General features: G+C 36.5%; 1 protein-coding gene across 4 annotated transcripts in view; it reads right to left on the reverse strand.

Annotated features, from left to right (window-relative positions):
* Positions 1-8,849: 8,849 nt before the first annotated feature.
* TXNL1 (thioredoxin like 1) overlaps positions 8,850-24,279 on the reverse strand; it is a 41,384-nt gene continuing 25,954 nt past the window's right edge. For 2 of the 4 annotated variants that reach the window (NR_024546.2, NM_004786.3), the window contains 2 exons: positions 22,634-22,738; positions 8,850-14,697 (listed from right to left, as the gene is read on the reverse strand). Coding sequence is in view for 3 of the 4 variants with exons in the window: in NM_004786.3 (NP_004777.1) it covers positions 14,668-14,697; positions 22,634-22,738 (135 nt within the window). In the remaining variant the exon portion in view is untranslated. Of the gene's footprint in view, positions 14,698-16,076; positions 16,120-16,155; positions 17,026-22,633; positions 22,739-24,279 lie in introns of those variants that run through there. The other 2 variants (XM_024451289.2, XM_024451290.2) reach the window with 2 other exon arrangements.

Raw genomic sequence — 24,279 nt, forward strand, 5'->3', positions numbered from 1 at the left:
GTATAAATAAATTGGCATGTTCATACATACAATGAAACACTACTAAGCAATAAAAAAATAAACTACTGAAACATGCAACACCATGGATAATCTCACATACATTTGCTAAGGCACGATGTTGATACTGAAGAATACACGTTTTATGATTTCATTAATATGAAGTTCTAGAACAAGCAAAACAAATCTGTGGTGAAAACATCAAAAACAGTGGTTGGTTTTAAGGTTAGGAGGACTAATGGGGAAAGAAATATAATTAATTGGACATTTGATGCATATGACAATTTGTGCATTTCAAGGTATGTAAATTTTACTTTTATGAAACACTGAATAAATAAACTCTAGTTAGTAGGTTTCAATTTTCTGGGGTACATATTAGCATCTTTAAAACTACTTCCTGTATTCTTGGCTTGAGCAAATGTGTCAATATACTGAGGATAATGGTAGCCAGTTTTTCATATGAGAAATTGACTTGCAAATACAGACACGAGGAAGTCTAGAATGTTCTCTGTGCTGTTGGATTGGACTTGAAGGAAGGTATCAGTATGAAGTTGTTTTTTAAAAAAAGGATATTGAAATAAATAAAAATGTGTTTGTTTACATATGTGCATAAATATTTTACCCTATTCTATTCCATTTCCTATCTCTGCCCATTGAGAGGGCCTAGAAGCAAAGACATACAAGTGGGAATAAACATAGCTAACACTCAGATCTTGGTTTCTCAGCATCATTCTCCACTAAAAGGAACCACTTATTGAATAAATCAGTGATTCCAGGCTTGGGTTAGGGGCAGGAGATGGGGGTGGCAGGGAGTAGAGAAAGAGCTTGGAAAACTTTATGCCACAAAGTTTAAAAAGTATTCAAAGAATCTCGGGGACGTGTCAAATCAACATGAGTGCCAACTGGCAGAGGCTCTCACAGAACAAATCTGGGGCAATATAAGCATCAAAAAAAAGATATAACCCATTAAAAAATTAGAATCCATAAGCCTGTGCTGATATAAATATTAAATGAATAAATCAATAAACAGGGGAAAAGGAAAAGGTCTTCCATATGGTAAACTATCAATAGAAAGATAGAAGGAAGAATGGAATTACAAAATCATTAATGGATGCTAAAATTAGCAAGTGAAATGTTGGTAAGGAAAAGGATATTCACGTATCTCAAATTAGCTTTCAAGAAAAATACTTTTTTTTTTCTTTTAGATGGAGCCTCACTCTGTCACCCAGGCTGGAGTGCAGTGGCACGACGATCTCAGCTCACTGCAGCCTCCACCTGCCGGATTCAAGCGATATTCTCCTGCCTCAGCCTCCCAAATAGCTGAGATTACAGGTGCGTGCCATCACGCCCAGCTAATTTTCTATATTTTTAGTAGAGACAGGGTTTCCGCCATGTTGGTCAGGCTGGTCTCAAACTCCTGACCTCAGGTGATCCGCCCACCTCAGCCTCCCAAAGTACTTATTAATTACAAAGGGAAAATTGGCAGACTCCACTTTTACCAAGTCATCAAATCTAATATCACCAATATTGAAACAGACACCATGTGCGTCCTGAAAAGATGTACAGAGAAAGGCACAACATCACTTTGGTAGTATTTCTGAAAATATATATAACCTGGATCTTATCATGAGGAAATATCAGAAAACCCCAAACTGTGGGTAATTCTCCAGAATCAGTGTCAGGTTAAAATATGTAAGTGCCCAATTTTTTTTGAAAACTTAAAAAAAAATACCTTTTTAAGTTACAGGCACATTATGGTGGATCAACAATACTTCCTTGCTTTGATATTTTTAAATGTGAAAGGATATTTATAGGCAGATAACCCGAAGCTGAGAGCTAATATCATAGAAGAGTGAACATTTTAAAAAATCATAGGGCCAACAGCATGAATTGAAGCTAAAAGTTTATAAGGTATTACATTGGCATGGAAACAATATTCCTACTGCTCTCCCCGGTTAAACAACACTAATTGAGGTACACTTGGAAACTAGAAGGTATCTGGGGATATAGTTCAGTGTGCAGAGTGAGAATTCTAGTTCATCTCAAATGTTGGTTTTAATTCTATCATTTCAATATTCAGCGAAAGTACATGAAAAAATTAAAGATTCAGCTTCAAGAAGTTTACACACAACTACATTTTTTCTTTTTTTTTTTTTTAAGACAGAGTCTCACTCTATTGCCCAGGCTGGAGTGCAGTGGCACTATCTCAACTCACTGCAACCTCTCCGCCTCCCAGGTTCAAGCGATTCTCGTGCCTCAGCCTCCCGAGTAGCTGGGATTACAGACACATGCCACCATGCCCGGCTAATTCACAACTACATTTTGAAGAGGTAGCCACAGTTTCAGGCAGCCAGGGGACAGCAAAGAAAATTAGACTGCCATACCAGTCCAAGGAAGATCATAAGACCAGAAGTCCATTGAGGAGGCAATTTCATGCAGGGAGAAAATTATCAACACCAAATACATCTACATAATATAAAAACTATAATTACTGTTACCTTTGTTGTTAGGGGTATATGTGTGTGTGTGTGACTGTCTAGATTCAGTGCTAGTTTTTAACGTTGGCCAAAGACCAAAGGCCATAGATAAAGCCTTTATCTAAAGCATTATCTAATGAAAAAAGCTTTATAAAGTATTCAATCTCTTCATTTTAAGTTATATAGAAATTTAGAATCTGCTGTGATAAAACTCCTGACAGATAATTTTCTTTACGACATTAGATTGAAAACAAATTCAGACCTATGTTCAAGAAAGGAACTTAGATGTTGATTTGTAACATGCCCATGTTATGATTTGTAATTTTAAAAAACACTATTTGTAATGTAGTCTTGTAGTTATCATCAAAAATGCCATGTAAAAAACTGTATGAAATCATAAGTCTGTAGATCAGGTTCTCAGTCTTCTTTTTGCCTACCTTTCTTCCTTTGAGCAAAGTCTTATTTAACAAATTCTGATTCTTGAAGTTCCTTGTCTTGAAATCATTAGTTTTTTTTTTTTTGTCTGTTTGTTTGTTTTTTTTGGTTTGTTTGTTTTTGGTACAATTTGGTGCCCAAAAATCCTAAAAAAGGGGCAGCAGGAGTTTGAACTACTTCAGCTCTGAAATTTAATTATGTGGATATAAGCCTCTCATTCTTAGGAGAATCAGCAATCTTTCGCACATCTGGCATGAGAAATATAGTATTTTAAGCCATTGGTGCTACATCTGTCAAAGCCATGTGCTTTTCCTAATTGTGGTAAGGAATAAGTAGTAATAATTGCATATAAATTCCACTCCCACCCCCCAGTTTTTGTTGCTTTTCATTTACTTTTTAACTCCTAAGAAAATAATGTGTCTAATTTTAAGGTGTAGGAATCTTAAGGTACTGTTCTTGGCTTTTGAAGTATAGTAGGTGATTTCCAATGATGAATGAAAATCAATTAAGCAGTTAGACCAATCAGGGAGATTAAAGAAGACTTACTTGGTTAAGGTGGAGTCTGCCTATTTTTCCCATGAAATTAAGTTATTTGGGGAGGTGTATTTTGAGATGTGTAAATATCATGTTTTTCCTCAAACTTTCATTCACTAGGTTTAGCATCCATGAATGATTTTCTAACTACATTATTCCTTACACATTTACTGGTTGATAGCCCACTTAAGGATTGAGACCTTTATTCTCCAGAAGGCATGAGCTAATCTTTATTATTTTATAGGTAAGACCAGCCTATCAGGAGAATGGTGACTGCATTAAATAAGCTAAAGTTTTTGGAAAACTAAGTACTGAAATAACTTCCTACCTGTAAACGTATTCTCCAAGTGGAAGATTAAAATATTCATTTGGCATGTAAAAGTTTAGTTCAAGAATTATAAATATTGAGCTGTGAAAATGTTCTATGTATATAAACACTTATAAAAGTACAACTGAATCACAAATTTCCCTGGGTTCAAACTAATCTCTTTTTTTTCCAATATCCCTTTCTCTTCTTTAAAGCCCTTTAAAAGCAAAAGGGGCAAGGAATCTCCTGTATTTCATTGATTCTGAGATTCTATAGACTGCAAGAAGTCTATTTAGAAAGAACAGTCAATTAAACTGTGATGACAAAAAATTGAAAGATGCATATCAACTTTAAAAGTGTTTTTTAAAAGGGAGAGAAGTTTCATCTTAAAATAGATGACAACTTTAAATGGCTTCAGAGACTCTAAGCCAAAATATAAACAGCAAAGTACTACGATGTTCATCCATAAGCTAGTAACTAGTAGTCCTTGAAAGGATACAGAGGAAAAAAAACCAAAAGGCAGAAAAGGCCCTAAACCCCTTTCTTTAGCTAAATTATTCTTTACAGAATTTATAAAACATTTAAAGATTTTCATTGAATTAAAATTTTTCATGAAAAATCAAAGAGTCATAAAATAGGAGGGCAAATTAAACATAGCAGAATTTCATATTTTGGTTTATAAATGATGCCTTTTATCCATGTGGGGTGTGTGTGTTTGTATGTATCATCACAAAAGTAAATTGCAAGTAGTTTGTCATTCATTCATGTAAGTTTCATTGCATAAAGATTATACTTTAAACATTTCTTACATTTCCTTTATAATTTAAAAAAAACCTCTTAAGTATGTAAAAGTAGAAATTGAATGTACAAGCGAACTTGTGTAGATTTTTTTTTTTTAGTTCAGATAACATTGCAAATATGAAGACCCCTGTATTAGTCCATTCTCACACTGCTATAAAGAACTAACTGAGACTGGGTAATTTATAAAGAAAAGAGGTTTAATTGACTCACAGTTCCACAGAAGTCATGGCTGGGGAGGCCTCAGGAAACTTACAATCATGGCGGAAGGGTGAAGGGGAAGCAAGTATGTCTTCATGTGGCAGCAGGGAAGAGAGAGTGGGCAAAGGGGGAAGTGCTACACACTTAAAAAAAAAAAGCAGATCTCATGAGAACTGTATCACAAGACAGCAAAGGGGAGGTCTGCCCTCATAATCCAATCACCTCCCACCAGGCCCCTCCTCCAATTTGACATGAGATTTGGGTGGGGACACAAATCCAAACTATATCAATCTCTAAACTGAGGGTCACATTCAGATGAAATCTTTCTCTCCCTAATTTACTATTATGCTAATCATGTATAATTTGCATTGTTTTTATTTTTATTTACTTTTTGATAGCCTTACTGAGATAAAATTCACATATCTTACAGTTCCTCCATTTAAAGTGTAGAATTCAATGATTTTTAGTATATTCAGATACGCACAACAATCACAATAAATTTTAAAACATTTCTACCACATTTAAAAGAAATCCAAGGCCGGGCGTGGTGGCTCATGCCTGTAAGCCCAGCACTTTGGAAGGCCGAGGTGGGCGGATCATCTGAGGTCAGGAGATCGAGACCAGCCTGGCCAACATGGATGGATACACCATGTCTTGTTTATTCATTTGTCCATTGATGAACATTTGGGTTGTTTCCACTTTGGGGCTATTATGAATAATGCTGCTATAAACATTCAGGTACAAGTATTTCTGTGGGCATACTATTTTTTCCCTCTTAGGCATATAACTAGAAATGGAACGATTGGGTCACATGGTAAATCTATGTTTCATCCTATAAAGAATTGTCAAACTGTTTTCCAAAGGAGCTGAACCATTTTACATCCCCACCAGTAGTGTAGGAGGGTTGTGACTGCTCCACATCCTCACCAACACTTGTTGTTGTATGAATTTTTGATTCTAGCTACCCTGTGGATATGAAGTGGTATCTCATTGTGGTTTTGAATTGCATTTTTTCTGATGACTAAGGCTGTCTAGAATCTTTTCAATTCATATTGCCTGTTTTTAAAATTGGGTTGTTCTTGGCTGGGCATGGTGGCTCATGCCTGTAATCCCGGCACTTTGGAAGGCCGAGGCAGGTGGATTGCCTGAGGTCAGGAGTTCAAGGCCAGCCTCGCCAACATGGTGAAACTCCATCTCTACTAAAAATTTAAAAAGTAGCCAGATGTGGTGGCAGGTGCCTGGAATCCCAGCTACTCAGGAGGCTGAGGCAGGAGAATCGCTTGAACCCAGGAAGCAGAGTTTGCAGTGAGCCGAGACTGCGCCATTGCACTTCAGCCTGGGCGACAAGAGCAAGACTTCATCTCAAAAAAAAAAAAAAAAAAAAAAAAAAAAAAAAAAATTGGGTTGTTCTTATTATTGAGTTTTAAGAGTTCTTTATGCAGTCAAAACACCAGTCCTTTGTCAGAGATATGATGTCCAAATATTTTCTTCCATTCCGTAGGTTGTCTTTTCACTTTCTCGATGGTGTCCTTTGAAGCACAAAAGGTTTCAATTTTTATGAAACTTCGATTTACTACTTTTTCTTTCTTTGTTCATACTTTTGGTCATATATAAGAATCCTTTGACAAATCCAAGGTCATGAAGATTTGCCTGTATGTTTTCTTACAGGAGTTTAGTAGTTCCAGTATGACACTGTCTTGATTGCTATTAGTTTGTAAAAAGTTTTCAAATCAGGTAGTGTGAGTCCTCCTTTGTACTTCTTTTTCAGGATTGTTCTGGATATACTGGATTCTTTGAAATTTTATATTAGATTCAGTTTGTCAATTTCTATATAGAAGTTGGCTGGAATTCTGACAGAGATTGCATCGAATCTGTAGATCAGTTTGGGGAGGATTGCCATGTTAATAAAGTTTTCTGATTCGTGACCACATGTGACCACAGGATGTTTTCATTTATTTATATCTTAATTTCTTTCAACAATGTTTTGTAATTTTCAGAGTATAAGTTTTACACGTCTTTTAAGTTTATTCCTAGTTTTTTTGATACTATCGTGAATTGTTTGCTTAATTTCATTTTCAGATTGTTCATTGTGTGTAGAAATACGATTTTATTTTTTTGTATATAGAACCTTTATCCTGAAACCTTGTTGAACTCATATTAGTGCTAGGTGGATTCCTTTAGGATTTTCTACATACAATATTATGTCTTCTGTGAATAGTTTTACTCCTTCTCTTCTGATCTGGATGCTTATTTCTTTTTCTTGACTTATTAACCTGACTAGAACCTCCAATACAATGTTGACTATAAGCAGTGACAGCAGACATCATTTTCTTTATCCTGATCTTAGCAGGAAGTACCCAGTCTCTTACCATAAAGTGTGATATTAGCTGTGGGCTTTTGATAAATGCCTTTATCAAGTTAAGAACGTTCTATTCCTCATTTGTTGAGTGTTTTATCATGAAAGGGGTTTGGATTTCTAGTGTGTCTATGTGCTTAAATAACTTTGCTTAATAACTTTGGATTAATATTGTACTAAGGTAATCAATAATCTATGTTTTATCTAAATATACCTGATCATGCCACTACACTCTAGCCTGGGCAACACAGTGAGACCCTATCTCCAAAAATGAAATAAAATAGTAAAATAAATCTGAGATACTGTTCTGGGTGAGAACTGCTATACATAACAAATGGCTTGTAAATCTTCTAAAGAAGCTTATCTCATTCCATAAAATAAGTTACCAGCTTATCAGGTTATATGTACATAAAACAGTTAATTCCTGAAATGGCATACATTTATTAAAGGGAATCATAGTAACAACTGCTTAGAGCACTCTGAAAAGCAAGTACATTGGACCAAAATGAGGAAGCAATGAAGCAATTATATAAAATGCGGGTTAATATTCTTATTCTAGGAATTTTTTTTTCTGTCTTTTTTTTTTTAACAGAGTCCCGCTCTGTAACCCAGGCTGGAATGCAATGGCGTGATCTTGGCTCACCACAACCTCCACCTCCCGGGTTCAAGTGATTCTCCTGCCTCAGCCTCCCGACTAGCTGGGATTAAAGGCACCCACCACCACGCCCAGCTAATTTTTGGATTTTTAGTAGAGATGGGGTTTCGCCATGTTGGCCAGGCTGGTTTTGAATTCCTGACCTCAAGTAATCCGCCGGCCTTGGCCTTCCAAAGTGCTGGGATTACAGGTGTGAGCCACTGTACCACGCCGGAAATTATTTAAAGGTAAAAATTGAAGCCCAAATGTAAACACCCAAATATCTTTCCCTTACAGTTGCTGGATTCAAATAAAAATCAGATGAATTTTTTTTTTTTTTTTTTTTGAGACGGAGTTTGGCTCTGTCTGAAGTGCGGTGGCACCATCTTGGCTCACTGCAACCTCCACCTCCCAGGTTCAAGCCATTCTCCTGCCTCAGCCTCCCGGGTAGCTGGGATTACAGGCACACACCACTATGCTTGGCTAATTTTTGTATTTTTAGTAGAGACACAGTTTCACCATGTTGGCCTGGCTGGTCTTGAACTCCTGGCCTCAGGTGATCTGCCTGCCTCGGCCTCCCTAAGTGTTGGGATTACAGGTGTGAGCCACCACGCCTGGCCGAGGAATTTTTAATGGGGTTCCAGTTGGCCTATGCATTTATGCCCAGGCTCCCTGCCATTGTCTGTTTTGAGTTAAATACCCATTTTTAAAAGTAAAAGTCACCTGCAGTCGAGGCTAAACTCATGCAGCAGCATCCTTAATACTGTCAATGTGTCAATTCCTTTGAGATAATTATATGACCAGAGAAATGAAACTATGATACTATCTCTACTATACTTTGTCACAGGGAGATTACAGGGATCTAATGAAGGAGTTCCTTTTTACTGGAAACCCCAGAAGAGCAGGTATTAACAATTAATATATTTGATAATGCCCCCCAAAATTAGAACCCTTATTACTAAGGCAACTCAATGACCCATTCAGGACTCTAACAGGAATCATCTTTGTGATGTGAAATTAGAAACTTTTAAGAGAACAAAAGCAATCAAGAAAAACAGTACTAGAATGACAGATAGGACAAAATTTATAAACAAAATACAAGAGAAAAAGCACCTGATAAGATCCTTTAATGACAACTTCAAAGCAGTGTTTCATATTCTCTTACAAAATAGTGCCATCCATCTCCAAGTTTTGCCAAGTGTCATGTAAAACTGTGTTCAATGGTAGACTATAAAAGCATCTACATTTCTTTGCCAGAGGGTTTTGGAATAATTATCTGCTGATGCTTCAACTGAAAGTTTATTAATATGATCAATGATTCCTATAATTAAGCACTAGAAAGACTGTTTCCACAATTTAATGGATTAAACAACTGGACATCCCAGCTAATTTCAATATCACATTTGAAGATGGTGACTGCTCCCTCTTGGATTCATTAACACTACTTTATTACCACCTCCTGTTTTTCCTCCCTTTCCTGTTTACTACTCTACCTTCCAGGTTCCTCTTTTCCCAATTCTTTAATATTTCTTAGGATTCCCTAACATTTGCTCCTTAGTTTCATTCTCTCCCTTTATATTCTAAAAATTCCCATTCATATACATATTTCAGTTTTCATCATCTAAACAACTCCTAGTTCCTTGCTTCTAGCTCTAAGCTCTAAAATCACATTCCTGGCTTTTTACTTACTAGACATCGCCACCCAAATACCAAAAATGCAATTTAAGGCAATGTACCCAAAACCATATTCATCTTCCCCTCTGAACGTTCTGCTTCTCCTAAGAGCTACTTCTATATTCAATTGTAAAAGTGAGAACCTTGTGAGACATCACAGACTTCTCTATGCTCGCTCCTCCCATAAATTAAGGAGAAAGTTTGATCTCTTTCACATGGCAAGAGGAGCTTCACCTTACCGTCTCTACTTGCTCTTTCAGCTTCTCCTTCACTTCCCTAGAATGTCTCTTACACTTAACTCCCACTCTATGAACACACTATGCACTTTTCCTTTACTTCAGCTAAATTATCTTCCTTACCTTCCTCAACTGCATATTCCTACTTTATCTCTGACTCAACCCAAGCATCTCCCCTTGGACCCTGAGAATTTTTTCAACATTGTATTTAATGATAGAAACCAAATAAACTGGCTTAATACTAGAGACAAAATACTTGTATTACAGCTCACAATCTAGTAGTCCAAATAAGACTACAGATCATTACAAGTAGCTTGATAAGTATCCGGATGAAATAATGGCAAGGTGTCATAGCAGCTGAGGAGGCGTGCACAATTGTTATGATTATTCCCGGTATCAGTTTTCCTTGGACTGAGCCTTGTAGATAAGTAGGAATTGGTCAGATGGAAAAGTTAGGTCAGAGGAAGGCATGCGATATTAGGGTACGTTCTGCTACCTGGTAATACAGCACAGCACACTGGAGAAATGAGGGGCATGGGGAGGCTAGAGGAGGAGAGATTACATTACAAAGACCCCATAAAGAAAAGAGAACCAGCGGCCATGTGGGGGATACATGAGAGAGGCCAGAGCAGAAACAAAGAGACAATTAGGAGGCACTGCAGTATGCCAAGCAAGTAATGATGGCCTAAAAAGCAGTGACAGCTGAGAGCAGGATACAGAAGATACTTATCCTTGTTCCAGATACAAAGTAAGGCGCATCTTCAGAACAAGTCTAAGAGATAGATGTTCCTATTTTTACACAAGAAGAAATTTGAGCTCTGAAGGATGTTACTTGCTCAAGATGACACAGCTAACAAGTGGAAGAGCAGGGATTCAAACTTCAGAGATTTTGCTCCTAGGTAGTATGATGAGCCAGTATCTCCAAATGCGTGTCCAATTATAAACCAACAGATCATGTTTTCACAATTAATTCTGGTCTGTTCAACTTAGAAATAATTCCAAAATAAAATTCCTCTTCCCATAGAGAAGCATAGCAAGCACGAAGGAAAAATACTCTAGCAGTTTTAACATTGCATATCCTTAAGATTTTAATATTCCAAGCTGTGTACAATTTTAGTACATTCAAATTCTAAAGGTTATCTCTTTATCTTATAGTTCTCTAATTACACATTCTCCAACTAATAATTTTACATGGACCACAAAGTTTAAAAGCGATCTTATTAGCCTACAAATCTCCACTGTCCTCTTATTCCTATAGTGCTGAGCATGTTAAAAAAAAAAAAAAACCTTATTGATCAAAAATAAAACTTGAATTTTGAAACATGCTTAAAATGACATCAGTAGTCTTCCTTAAGAAGTATAGGCTTAACTGGGGAATAGTCAATATTTTAAAATTTATTTACTATATGCATGTTATATATACTTGCTTTATGTGTATTATAAAGCATAATCTATATTTACAAAACTGTAAAATACACACCTCTAATAATGAGTTTTAAAGCTAAATGAGCAAAATATTCCTCTAGTTTTTCTTTAGCAGTTCTGTGAATGGATTTTTTTTTTTTTTCTTTTGAGACAGTCTCACTCTGTTGCCCGGGCTAGTGTGCAGTCATGCGATCTTGGCTCACTGCAACCTCCGCCTCCCGGGTTCAAGCGATTCTACTGCCTCAGCCTCCCAAGTAGCTGGGTGTGGCACCTGCCACCATGCCTGGCTAATTTTTTGTATTTTTAGTAGAGACAGGGTTTCTCCATGTTAGCCAGGCTGGTCTCAAACTCCTGACCTCAAGTGATCCAGCCGCCTCGGCCTCCCAAAATGCTGGGATTACAGGCATGAGCCACTGTTCCCAGCTGGATTTCTTACTCTAAGTTACTTATCTTAAAAAAAAAATAGTCTAAGATTACAAATTATCAGTTCCAGAAGAGATATACCTAACACAAAAATTAACCTACTAAATTGAACTATATGAGTATCAATACAAGCAACATGAGTAAGCCTTAAATTTCATGTTTTTAAAGCTTACAAAGGGTGTAACTAATTTATTCAACTCCAACACTTTATTCTTATTACAGAATCAAAGCTTTTAGACATTAAGAGGAACAAGGGAGGATCTGAACTATTTTAGGTTTAAAAGCCCATGATCAGGGATATTAATTGCAGCCATAAATAAACTGCTGAGGCCAAATAAACAACTGCATTCCTATAATCGCTGCCAAAAACACTGCATACATCCTCAAACATTGAGACAAAGGATGGCAGACAGGTTTCAACTCTAATTGTTAAGTGGCTGCCTCCAACAGAATATTGAGACTGGGGAACAATGTGGGGCAGGTTTCAACTCTAATTGTTACGTGGCTGCCTCCAACAGAATATTGAGACTGGGGAACAAAGTGGGGCAGGTTTCAACTCTAATTGTTACGTGGCTGCCTCCAACAGAATATTGAGACTGGGGAACAATGTGGGGCAGGTTTCAACTCTAATTGTTACGTGGCTGCCTCCAACAGAATATTGAGACTGGGGAACAACGTGGGGCAGGTTTCAACTCTAATTGTTATGTGGCTGCCTCCAACAGTATATTGAGACTGGGGAACAACGTGGGGCAGGTTTCAACTCTAATTGTTACGTGGCTGCCTCCAACAGTATATTGAGACTGGGGAACAACGTGGGGCAGGTTTCAACTCTAATTGTTACGTGGCTGCCTCCAACAGAATATTGAGACTGGGGAACAACGTGGGGCTTGATGTCAAAGAGAACTCAGAAGGATTATAAAAGCCTGTCGTGGGCACAAGAATGTGGTACCTTGTGCTACTCTTGGCTTCAGCATTAAGCTGACAAAGACTTCCTACTGCAATACCTGACTTTCGTTTCTATTATGAACACGATATTTCACTGTTGTTTCTCATCAAAAGCACCTGATGTCAATGTATCAAAATACAGAGATCATGAAATTCTTTTTTGCTATGTCCGACAAAATGAACAAGAAACTGAATACCAGTTTTCTAGATGCACTAATAAATAACTTCAGTTAAAATAACTAGAGTTACATTTTTTCAAATGCTCTTATTCATCTGGAAAATTCAGTGTTATATATAAATGTTACATATACATATGTGTGTATATATATATACTGTTTTAGGAGAAAACAGCATTTCAGTTTGATATTTTAAATGCCAATTATGCACATTTATAATAGTAAGATTTCCCATTAAGTGAAACGTTATAGTTACCTATAAACGTTCATTTTTCACTATTTACAATTTGAATTATGTAATACTTGCATACTGCAACTAATTGTTATAGAAGAGTCACATAGACAATATAAATCTGATGTCCAATCCTTTACAAATACGAAATTTGTTTCACTGGGTTTTCAAACTATCAAGTATAAATAGGAAAAGGTCAGCAATACTTAGGATGAGGCACTTTAACAATTACTCAGAAAGGTTAAGTGTACAAAACTGTAAACCAAAACCCTGCATATTAATCTTATCCTTAATTTCAGATGTGATTAATCTGAGATGGTCTATTTAAGGAGTGTTAAGATCATCACAGACCAGTTAATGTGCCCATATACAAATGAACTAAACTATCTAATGACACTTGGGTTTCAGAAAGGGACTCTTTCAACACTAAAACTTCTGTAGAATTTTTTCATAAACAAGTATAAACACACTGCTCTCACAAAGGCAAATGGTATCTCTACCATATTCCTAGACAAGAATGCCCTCAAATGTTTAACTGAATCACAATTTTACAGTCTTATGTACTCTTTAAAAATAGTTTTCAAAATACTCAGAAATTTTAAAATTAAAACTACCAATACTTTTTAGATTACAATTTTAAGATAAAAAAGGTAACGAATAGGTATTTTACCAGCCTTTTGTGAAAGACCTTTTAAACATTTCTATTTGAGCACCTCATTTTCAACCTTAAATCATGTTCTCTGTATATTTACACTGCACGTTTTGGTAGTTCAGGTAATAAATACTTGATTAAGGGTAATAATTCCCTTTTTTTTTTGGAGACGGAGTTTTGCTCTTGTCGCTCAGGCTGGGGCGCAATGGCGCAATCTCAGCTCACTGCAACCTCTGCCTCCCGGGTTCAGCCGATTCTTCTGTCTCAGCCTCCCAAGTAGCTGGGATTACAGACACCCGCCACCATGCCTGGCTAATTTTTGTATTTTTAGTAGAGACGAGGTTTCACCATGTTGGCCAAGCTGGACTCGAACTCCTGACCTCTGGTGATTCGCCCGCCTTGGCCTCCCAAAGTACTGGGATTACAGACATTAGCCACCACACCTGGCCAATTCCTGTTTTCTGAATTCACTATGCTGTATTTTTTCCCCAACTGTCTGATTTCCACATTCTTCTATTAGTTAAAAAAAAAAAAAAAAAAAAAAAGGCTGACTCAAATTTTAAAGTTTACCAGAAGAGATTAAAATCTTGATATATACCAAGAAAGAATCTGTGGACCCATTAGCTAAGTTTTAGGTAAGAGTAGCTAAATCTCATTAAACCTGTTTATTTCTTCTAATTTATAATTTGAGTAATTTCCATAGCTCAGATATACAAATGTCCTTTAATAAAAATGCAGTAATAATTTAACATGGTTAGCTGTTCCAGGTTCACTTATCAAAATAACTTGCCATGAATGTGTACACATGTACTTCTTAATTCCCTAGAACAGTTTCTCCTTTTCTAAAGAAACTGGCTTTCAATCAATATACTACCAGACACTTAAGTCTCTACTAAAATCAGAAGTTAACCAGTTTTCAAATACATGGAAAGAGAAAATACTGATTTAGAAAGACAAAAATTAAGCTTGGCAAAAGTGGTGACTTTTATTTACAATTGCATGTGTCAAGATTACAATGGAAACACTAGTGATACCATCTGAACAAAAGCAATGATTTATTGGTAATGGCAATGAATGAAACATTGACAGTCTCTGGCGAGAATCAAGCAATTATCCAGGAGCTGTAGATCTGATTGCAATATGGTTGTCCAGTGTCTTTTGTACCTTAGTGGCTTTCTCCTTTTTTGCCAACTACCTAGAAAAACAAAAATAAGTTTATATGTACATCCTATTGATTTTAAATATGAGTTATTAAAAATACTAATAATCAGTTTAAAACCTTGGTATTAATTTTTATCCTTGGATCTTTTCTGGCATGCAATGTATTTTCACTGTTGAAGCAAACTGTGACCTCCCCTCCAATCCCAGCCACAAGGAATTAAAAATAAAACACATGCAGGCTATTTTTGGTTTCACACAGTTTTTTTTTTTTTTTTAAATAGCAATTTTTAAAAACAAGGTTGAAAGTTTAGAGAAGTTAATTTAAAAAATGATGCTATATGAGTAAAACATATTTGACATACTATTTTTAGATAGTTAGAAATCAAATGTCGATCACAAAAGAATCTGGAATTAGAAGCGTATGTTAAACTCATGTCCTTCATGCCCAATATAGCAAATTTCCAGACTTTCCCCCTCAATACACTGACATGCAATGAAAACAGATTAAAAGTGACTAATTTTTTCTGGTTTAAGAAAAAGATCCTGGTTACTTTAAGAGTACTATTAAAAATGAAATGAATAAACCTTGTTTCTGTCAATGATTAGAAAAATCCTCTACTGGAGGATTATAAAAAACATTCTGGTTGCTATATATGTGGCAGCATAAAAATGTGAAGAATAAAAATTTGTTCTCTACCAACAAATCTAGAAAACAAATTCTCTGCAGGAGAGTTTGAAAACTATGTTCTAATTGAGAAATGTACTGACAACTTACAGTTTATCATTAGATAATGTATTCTTAGGGCAAAAATGCCTTGAAAGAAACCTACTTGCAAAATACTGAATGTATGTTTGTGTAGAAAGATTTCTGTGTACATTTATATATTTAATTTTCGTATTTTACATTGATTCTATTCTAAATGGCAGTATCTATACCAGCAAAACTCATAAAGGTCATCAGTACATGTCTGGTCTAAAATATAACATAGCTGGGTCAACATCATTCATGAGAGACCTGAAAGCTTTCCACTGAAATCCCAATCACACAATCCTAGAAATGTTTTTCCCACCCTAAGAAAACTCACTTCTAGTACCTTAAAAGAACTCCCCTTTGGTCCAAAGACACCATGTTAGAAAGCTCACAAGGTAGCAAGATGATAAAAAGGCAGTTTCATATAAAAGAATGTGGATAAGAGTAAGAAATTCAGGTTTTAAGAGCCACTAGAAGGGGAACTGGCATTATCTCTATCACAAGTAAATTTTGTGCTGATAAACACTGAGAGCATTATTGATCATTGTATTACTTGGGAAACACAAAACACAAAGCTATTAGATTAAGCAAAAGAAAACAAAAACAAATATTAAAAATTAAACTTCTAGCAGATGTGATACAGAAGACACAAATCTGCATACTGTTTCACAGGTTGATAACTCTCAACTTGCCAATGTGTATTTTCTGTAAAAAAGAAGAAATTCAACATTCCAACATGGATTGTCATCCCAAACGTAAAGCTCTTTTATTCATTCTTAAGTCTTTATATTACACCTCAGACAAACCAAAATTTAGGTACATAAAAATTAGGTGTAAAAAATATTTATTCAGTAAAGAGTCCATTGATCTTCTATATTAATATGTTAACCCAACCTAATATTCAGTCCATAAGTCCTTCAACTGGTTTTGAGCTCACTTGGGCAAAAGCAGAGGACATGCCCCAATCAATCATCAAAAGGACTTTGGGGCTAACATTCCAACGAGGAAAAGAAAACCAACACCCCTCAACTGAAATGTAATCAATATATTAAACTAGCACAAACATAAAAGAACTTGATGCAACTGCTATATTTGTTTTCCAAAAGAATTCTATAGTTCCTAGGAAATAAAATTTAAAGTTTAGAATGGATTAAAACTATTCAACTAGTTAAATCTAAAACATTTTATAACAATTTAATTTTATTGTGATGTTATGCCTCAAAATGTAATACAAAATTAAATATGAAACAGTAGAAAGTAAAAAAAAAAAAAGGCTAGTGAGCAACACGGTATGGTAAAAAATTAAAGCACCTAGTTGCAAGCCCAAAACAAAAGCCAAAACAAAATAAAAGGCCAATTAAGAAACACAACTAGGATGAGATCTGAAGAAAGAGATGATTGAGGAAACCTAGGTAACAAGGCTGATCCAGATGATAGAAGCTGTAGAAATCTTGCACCAACAATGGCGAGAACATGGGAAGGGTGAGAGCAGACAGGTGCTAGATGAGCAGAGAAGCAAGGAGGGGAGTAGAGTGAGACAAGGTCAATCTTTATATTACTTCATTTTAAAATATCTTCTGTTTTTAGTTCATTTGAGTTGGATTAAAAAAGCTGAAAAATAAACAGACAGAAATGTTACAAAAATAGCTGATACGGTGAATGGCCAGTTTAGAAAAGTCTATTTTTATTATAGTGATAAAAATCTTTTCACATGCACCTCATTTCCTAAGAAGCAGAAGCCCCTATAATTTTCTCATTTTTGTATTTTTATAAAATTGTAATTAAAAATTCTGTATTAAAATAAAGCAATCCATATAAAGAGCATATTTTAGCAAAAACATCTACTTCCAATTAAGATGGCAATGGCAAGCTTTTCATGCTGCAACACAAAAAATCCATTGACAACAACAAACAGCCAAAGTATAGATTATAATCTGTGCGTGATGCCTATAAGAGCCAAAACCAGACAAGTGGAAGGGGTATTCTAGTCTGTCAAACCTTAAAAGTCTAACCTTCAAAGTTGTAATAGCATGAAAGGTTGTCTAAGATTTCTGTCCACATTGGAGATTCAACAGCATTACCTTAGCTTCTGTCAGATATCTTAGTGACATAAGAAGTCAGTGACATACTAAAAACGGAAATTATCCAGAAACAGCTCACACAAGATAAAAATATAAACTGAAAATGCTAAACATTTGATCTACTTTATTATTCATTAAGCCATTTTATATAGCGCCCTTCACTACACAGAGGTCATCAAAATTTTCCTCCCTGTGCCTATAAAATATATGCCAAATCTATTTCAAAATTTTCAATTCTAGGCCAGGCATGGTGGCTCACGCCTGTAATCCCAGCACTTTGGGAGGCCCAGGCGGGCGGATCAACGAGGTCAGGAGATCGAGACCATCCTGGCTAACACGGTGAAACCCCGTCTCTACTAAATATACAAAAAAATTAGCCAGGCGTAGCGGCGGGCACCTGTAGTCCCAGCTGCTACAGAGGCTGAGGCAGGAGAATGTGGTAAACTCGGGAGGCAGAGCTTGCAGTGAGCCGAGATCACACCACTGCACTCCAGCCTGGACAACAGAGCAAGACTCCGTCTCAAAAAAAAAGAAAAAAATTTCAATTCTAATTACTATGTATATACTAATTCAGACTGAGCAAACAAGTAAAAGAAAAGACATGCCACATGTGACTTGTCCTTGAACGATTGAATCCTCCACCTTCCTAAGTTCATGTCCAGGTCCCTACTTTTCCATTCTATCAAGGGTGCCCATAGCTGCCTGTTGAACTGTCCAAATTCTACTCTCAAAACTTAGTTCAAGGCCCTCTTTCTTCACAAAGTATTCTCAGACTTTCCCAGTCGTTGGGGGAAAAGGAAAAGTCACCTAGCTGGTAACGTCTGAGAATACTCTGTGGACAAAGAAACCCTTGAACTAAGCTTTGATTAATTTTGATTAACTTTCCCTATGTTTGTCCCTATGTTATCTACAAGAATATAAACTGCTGTAGACAGAGATCATGACTGAAGAGTAGTCCCTCCTTATCCATGCTTTCACTTTCTGCAGTTTCAACTGCCTATGGTGCAGTACAATAAGATATTTTGAGACAGTGAGAGAAAGAGCAAGCATGGGAGAGACCATATCCATGTCAACTTTTAACCACAGTATATTGTTGTAATTGCTCTATTTTATTATTAGTTGGTGTTAATCTTTTTTATTTTTCTTTCTTTTTGATATGGGGTCTTGCTCTGTCACCCAGGCTGGAGTGTAGTGGCGTGATCCTAGCTCGCTGCAGCCTTGAACTCCAGGGTTCAAGCGATCTTCCCACCTCAGCCTCCCAGGTAGCTAGAACTACAGGTGTGCCCACCACCTTGCCTGGGTAATTTTGTGTGTGTGTGTGTGTGTGTGTGTGTGTGTATTCTTATAGAGATGGAATCTTACTATGTTTATCAGGCTGGTCTTGAACTCCTGGGCTCAAGTGATCTTCCCACCTCAGCCTCCCAAGTAGCTGGGACTACAGGTGCACCCACCGTCTTGCATGGGTAATTTTTTTTTTTTTTTAAATAGAGATGGAGTCTTACTATGTTTGCCAGCTGGTCCTGAACTCCTGGGTTTAAGTGATCTTCTAGCCTTGGCCTCCGGAAGTGATGGGATTATAGGCATGAGCCACCATGCTCTGGCTTTGTTGTTAAATCTCTTACTGTGCCTAATTTATACATTAAACATTATCAGCGGTATGTATATATGTACAGATGCTCCTCGACTTCCGATGGGGTAATATATCCCGATTAAACCCATTGTAAAGACCAGGCACGGTGGCTCATGCCTCTAATCCCAGTACTTTGGAAGACCAAGGAAGGCAGTGAGGTCAGGAGTTTGAGACCAGCCTGGCCAACATGGTGAAACCCCATCTCTACTAAAAATACAAAAATTAGCCGGGTATGGTGGCAGGCGCCTGTAATCCTAGCTACTTGGAAGGCTGAGGCAGGAGAATCACTTGAACCCGGGAGGCAGAGGTTGCAGTGAGCTGAGATCGCACCATTGCACTACAGCCTGGGTGACAAGAGTGAAACTCCATCTCAAAAAAATAAAAATAAGTAAACCCATTGTAAGGTGAAAATATTGTAAGTCAAAAATGCTTAACTGCCCCACACTTAAGAGAATGGTTTCTACTGAGTGCATTATCAATTTTGCACTATTGTAAACTTGAACCATCATAAGTTGGGAACCATCTGTATAGGAAAATACACAGTATGTACAGGGTTTGTTAGTGTCTGTGGTTCCAGGCATCCACCGGGGGTCTAAGAATGTATCCCCCCGCCCCGACAGATAAGGAGAGACTATTGTACTAGCATCGTACTACAGGGACAAAAGATACCATACCACATATTATTTCCTTCAATGAAAACCAAACTCAATTATAATTTTTAATAAGCAAATCTATCTGTACAAGGACTAAGCTGGCCAATTTCAGTTACATGTAAACCCTCTTTTTCTTTTTTTAACTACATTGAAGTTGTTACTTTGTACAATATAAAAACAATGAAATACTAGCTTACTTTTAAAGAATAACCCTAAAAGACAAAGAATAACTACAGTACAAATGTCATTCAGAAATATTACAAGAAAATGCAATATTAATATACCTAAGAAAATCACTTAATCAACTAAAATTTATTAAACATTAAAAGCAAGGGGCTAAGAAGCCCAGAACACCAACAAGGGAGTAGATTATGGTATTCAAATTATTCTTGTAGCAGTTCTCAAAGTGTGGTCTCCAAGACCCTCTCAAGGAGTCTGGGAGGTCAACACTATTTTCATAATGCTAAATCGTTTTTTGCCTTTTAGACTCTTATTCTCTTCACAAGTATCCAGGGGAGTTTTCCAGGGGCTATATGATGTGTGACAGGAAAGCTGACTGAATGCAGAAGCAGATATGAGAAGGAAAGGACACTATAAGGCTCGTAAACAGAGAAGCCTGGGCAACATAGTAAGACCCTGTCCCCACACAAAAATAAAACATTAGCCGAGTGTGGTGGCACACGCCTGTAGTCTCAGCTACTCGTGAGGCTGAGGCTGGAGGATCACTTGAGCCCAGGAGTTTGAGGTTGCAGTAAGCCATAACTGTGCCTCTGCACTGCAGCATGGGTGACAGAACAAAACCCTGTCTCAAAAAAAAAAAAAAAAAAATCATAAAATTCTGAATCAATGCTCTTCTTACCAAATTGGTTTTTCTTTTAGAAAATATGCTTATTTCTAATTTAAAAATATTCATTAACATGTGTTCATTATTTACAAATATTTTTTATATTTCCCACTTTTAACTTATAAATGGCAAATATCAGATAAATATAGCCCACATAAACAAAAGTTCTTTTTGGCCTTCAATAGTATTTAATAATATAAAGAGGTCCTGAGATCAAAAAGCTTGAGAACTGCTATCATATGGTAATTTAAAGTTAAAAAAAATCAAATGAATAAATGGCTGTTATAAAACAAGCACAAATACTCTCAAACAAAAAAGGTCTTACACCTTTGCTATCCTAAAGACAGCCCCCAAAAACGTAGTTTGACAGTCAGAAAAGAGAAAATACTAGGCTAGAAGGGATGTGAGGGGGATGTTAAACACGAGGTGGAGGCAGATAGTTAGATGGATAATTATTCATGCAAATTAGAGAAACTTTAACTGAATGGCTAGCTGGTAAGAAGGTAAACAAGATAGAATGGTGGTTACAGAAAAAAATGAAAATCAAATAGCATAAACTGAGGTAAGAAACAGGAAACTAGAGCCAAATTAATGAATGATATGAGAAAATAATAAGATAATAGTAATAGATCTTATAAAAAACTAAGTTAAGAATAAACCACACAAGGCACACTTAAAGCCAAGTCCAATGGCATCTAATTCAAAAAGGTAAAGCAGGCAGCCAAGACGTCTTTGTTGCTCACACATTTTCCCAATAAAACATATTTCATATCGTAAAAATGTAGATGCTTAATCTCTGCTTCTTCTGACCTGTCATAATACATATGTGAAACATCTAGACATAACAGCTCTAAAGTGCATAATTATTCCTGCAGTCCCCAAAAGGTAATCACGCTATGAGACAGGAAAATAGTAATTGGAAAACAACCAGTTAAAATACCTATTGTCCAGGTTTGCAATTTGGTAAAAACAGCATACAATTTTGTAAGATCATCCTCTGTTATGCAATCTAATACATTTTTCTATAATTGAATTAAAGTAAGATCTGTAGATGCACCAAAAAGAATGAGAGTGCTCAAGATGTTCTCCATCTTCAATTCCACAACAAGGGTCTCTTGGGAGCCTCTTCATCTAGGAATTGCCAGGCCTAAGGAAACTCTTCCTCAAGTTCTAGACTGCCTGCCAGATGCAATCATTAGAGACAGTGGGATACCTATGTATTCTGTGCTGCCACATTTAAACTGAGTATATAGCAACTAACGCTCTGTACTGATAAAGCTCTCAGTAGCACTTTGATAATCTCTGGCTGTATATTTAAGAGTGACGCTAGGGAACTGTTGCCCATTAGAAGTCGTTCCAGTAATGTACAGAAGGAATTAATCTGGATTAACAAAGGTCCCATGTACCCTATTAATTCTTTACTAACCTTATAATTGTGTCTTTTCAAAAGAAAATTATATGCACACACATAAAGATATACAAAAATACTTCAGAAAACTTGCCTGTTCATCATTATTTGATGAAATGTGCTATTTCAGCATACAAACATGGTTTGGAAAGTTAACATGTCAGTATATTAAAACTCAGTCCATTTTTTTTAAATAAAATTATTCAAGTAATTTAAAATTTCATCAGAAATAATCACCAGAATCTTACTATCAACTAAGTTATTTAATTCTCACAACTGCTTTCAAATGATTTTACTTTCATTTTTCCATTATTACTAACCACTTTCTATAACCAAGCCATTATTTTTACCCTTATGTTGATGTCATTCATTAAAAGACTCTTTTATCAGTTAAGACATCATTTTTTATTAAAGATTACTTTGTTGGATATCTAAAAATATAGTTAGGGGAACTTTCTATCCTAGTTTAGCCTTGTAAAATTTCATGACATGATATAATTTTGAATTATTTTGTTAAAAGAAAGTGTGACAGTTGAGATACATGAAATTATTCCATTAAAATTATATTTTTACTATCCCGAAGTATCATTTAAGCAAACTTACTCGTTTGAAGTCATTCATATTTGTTGCCTGGACTGGAGTACCAATAAAAGTAAAATATGAAATTCTTGTTGTTTCCTCTTCACCTTGATTCGACTGAACAAATATCTACCAAAAAAAAGTTTGCATTTATAATTACAATCCTTCTTCACAAACATGCTTTAAGTTTAATCAATTTCCTTAAATTAATAACATAAATATTCTCCATTCTTTGTAAAAATTAATCTAGGCTGGGTGCAGTGGCTCACGTCTGTAATCCCAGCACTTTGGGAGGCTGAGGTGGGCAGATCACCTGAGGTCAGGAGTTCGAGACCAGCCTGGCCACCGTGGCAAAACCCCATCTCTACTAAAAACACAAAAAAATTAACCAGGTGTGGTGACTGGCACCTGTAATCCTAGCTACTCGGGAGGCTGGGGCAGGAGAATCGCTTGAATCCAGGAGGTGGAGGTTGCAGTGAGCTGAGATCGTGCCACTGCACTCCAGCCCGGGCAACAAGAGCAAAACTCTGGCTCAAAAAAAAAAAAAAAATTAATCAAAATTATATAACATTAAGACTAGTACTCCTATAGGATAGGACTACTAATTATAGGGCTGTTTGCCCTGCTATTCTCACTTTCTCCAGAGATGTCATGGCAAGAGACCCATATATATAAGTTCATGGTAACTTGGTGTGATAGTATGGCAGAGTCACAATTAAATTCTCTCTCTATATGTATTTTTTGACATGGAGTCTCACTCTGTTGCCCAGGCTGGAGTGCAATGGCACGATCTCGACTCACTGCAACCTCCGCCTCCCAGGTTCAAACGATTCTCCAGCCTCAGCCTCCTGAGTAGCCCACCAGCACACCCGGCTAATTTTTTTTTTTTTTTTTTTAAGAGATGGAGTCTTGCTCTGTTGCCCAGGCTGGGGTGCAGTGGTGCCATCTCAGCTCACTGCAACCTCCACCTCTCAGGTTCAAGCAAGTCTCCTGCCTCAGCCTCCTGAGGAGGGGGGACTACAGGCACATGCTGCCACGCCCGGCTAATCTTTTTTTTTTTTTTTTTTTTTTTAAATTTAGTAGAGACAGGGTTTCACTGTGTTGCCCAGGGTGGTCTCGAACTTCTGAGCTCAGGCAATCCTCCTGCCTCAGCCTCCCAAAGTGCTGGGATTACAGGTGTGAGCCACCGCGCCCAGCAATTAAATTCTTTATAGAGAATGTTGAAAGGGTATTAAGAGTTACAATTACAATGGGACAGACTATCATTGGAAATTTTATTAAAATCATAGTTTTTCACTGAGGAAAATCTCTAAAGTGATATTCTTTCTGATATTCCTGTATCCATTCTATTTCCTAGAATATTAAAAGAAAAAATAGTATTGGGAATCAGCTCCTAAAACAATACTATGTGCCTCATTTTTTTTTTAAGCTTGACTCTATATTTAATAACTCCCCTCAGCACGATAAAAACTAAAAGTTTTACTCATTGATCCTTTGTCATACATTGGATTTTTGAAATTTGCTCCATTTCTAAAAACACAATATTCTAGGTGCTGTCTACTTTAAAATATTGCACCTATCTCTTTTTTGAGACAAGGTCTCATTATGTTACCTAGGCTGGTCCTGAACTCTTTAGTGCAAGTGATGCCCCTGCCTAAGCCTCCCAAGTA

Source organism: Homo sapiens, chromosome 18 (assembly GCF_000001405.40).
Source record: "Homo sapiens chromosome 18, GRCh38.p14 Primary Assembly".
Taxonomy (NCBI): domain Eukaryota; kingdom Metazoa; phylum Chordata; class Mammalia; order Primates; family Hominidae; genus Homo; species Homo sapiens.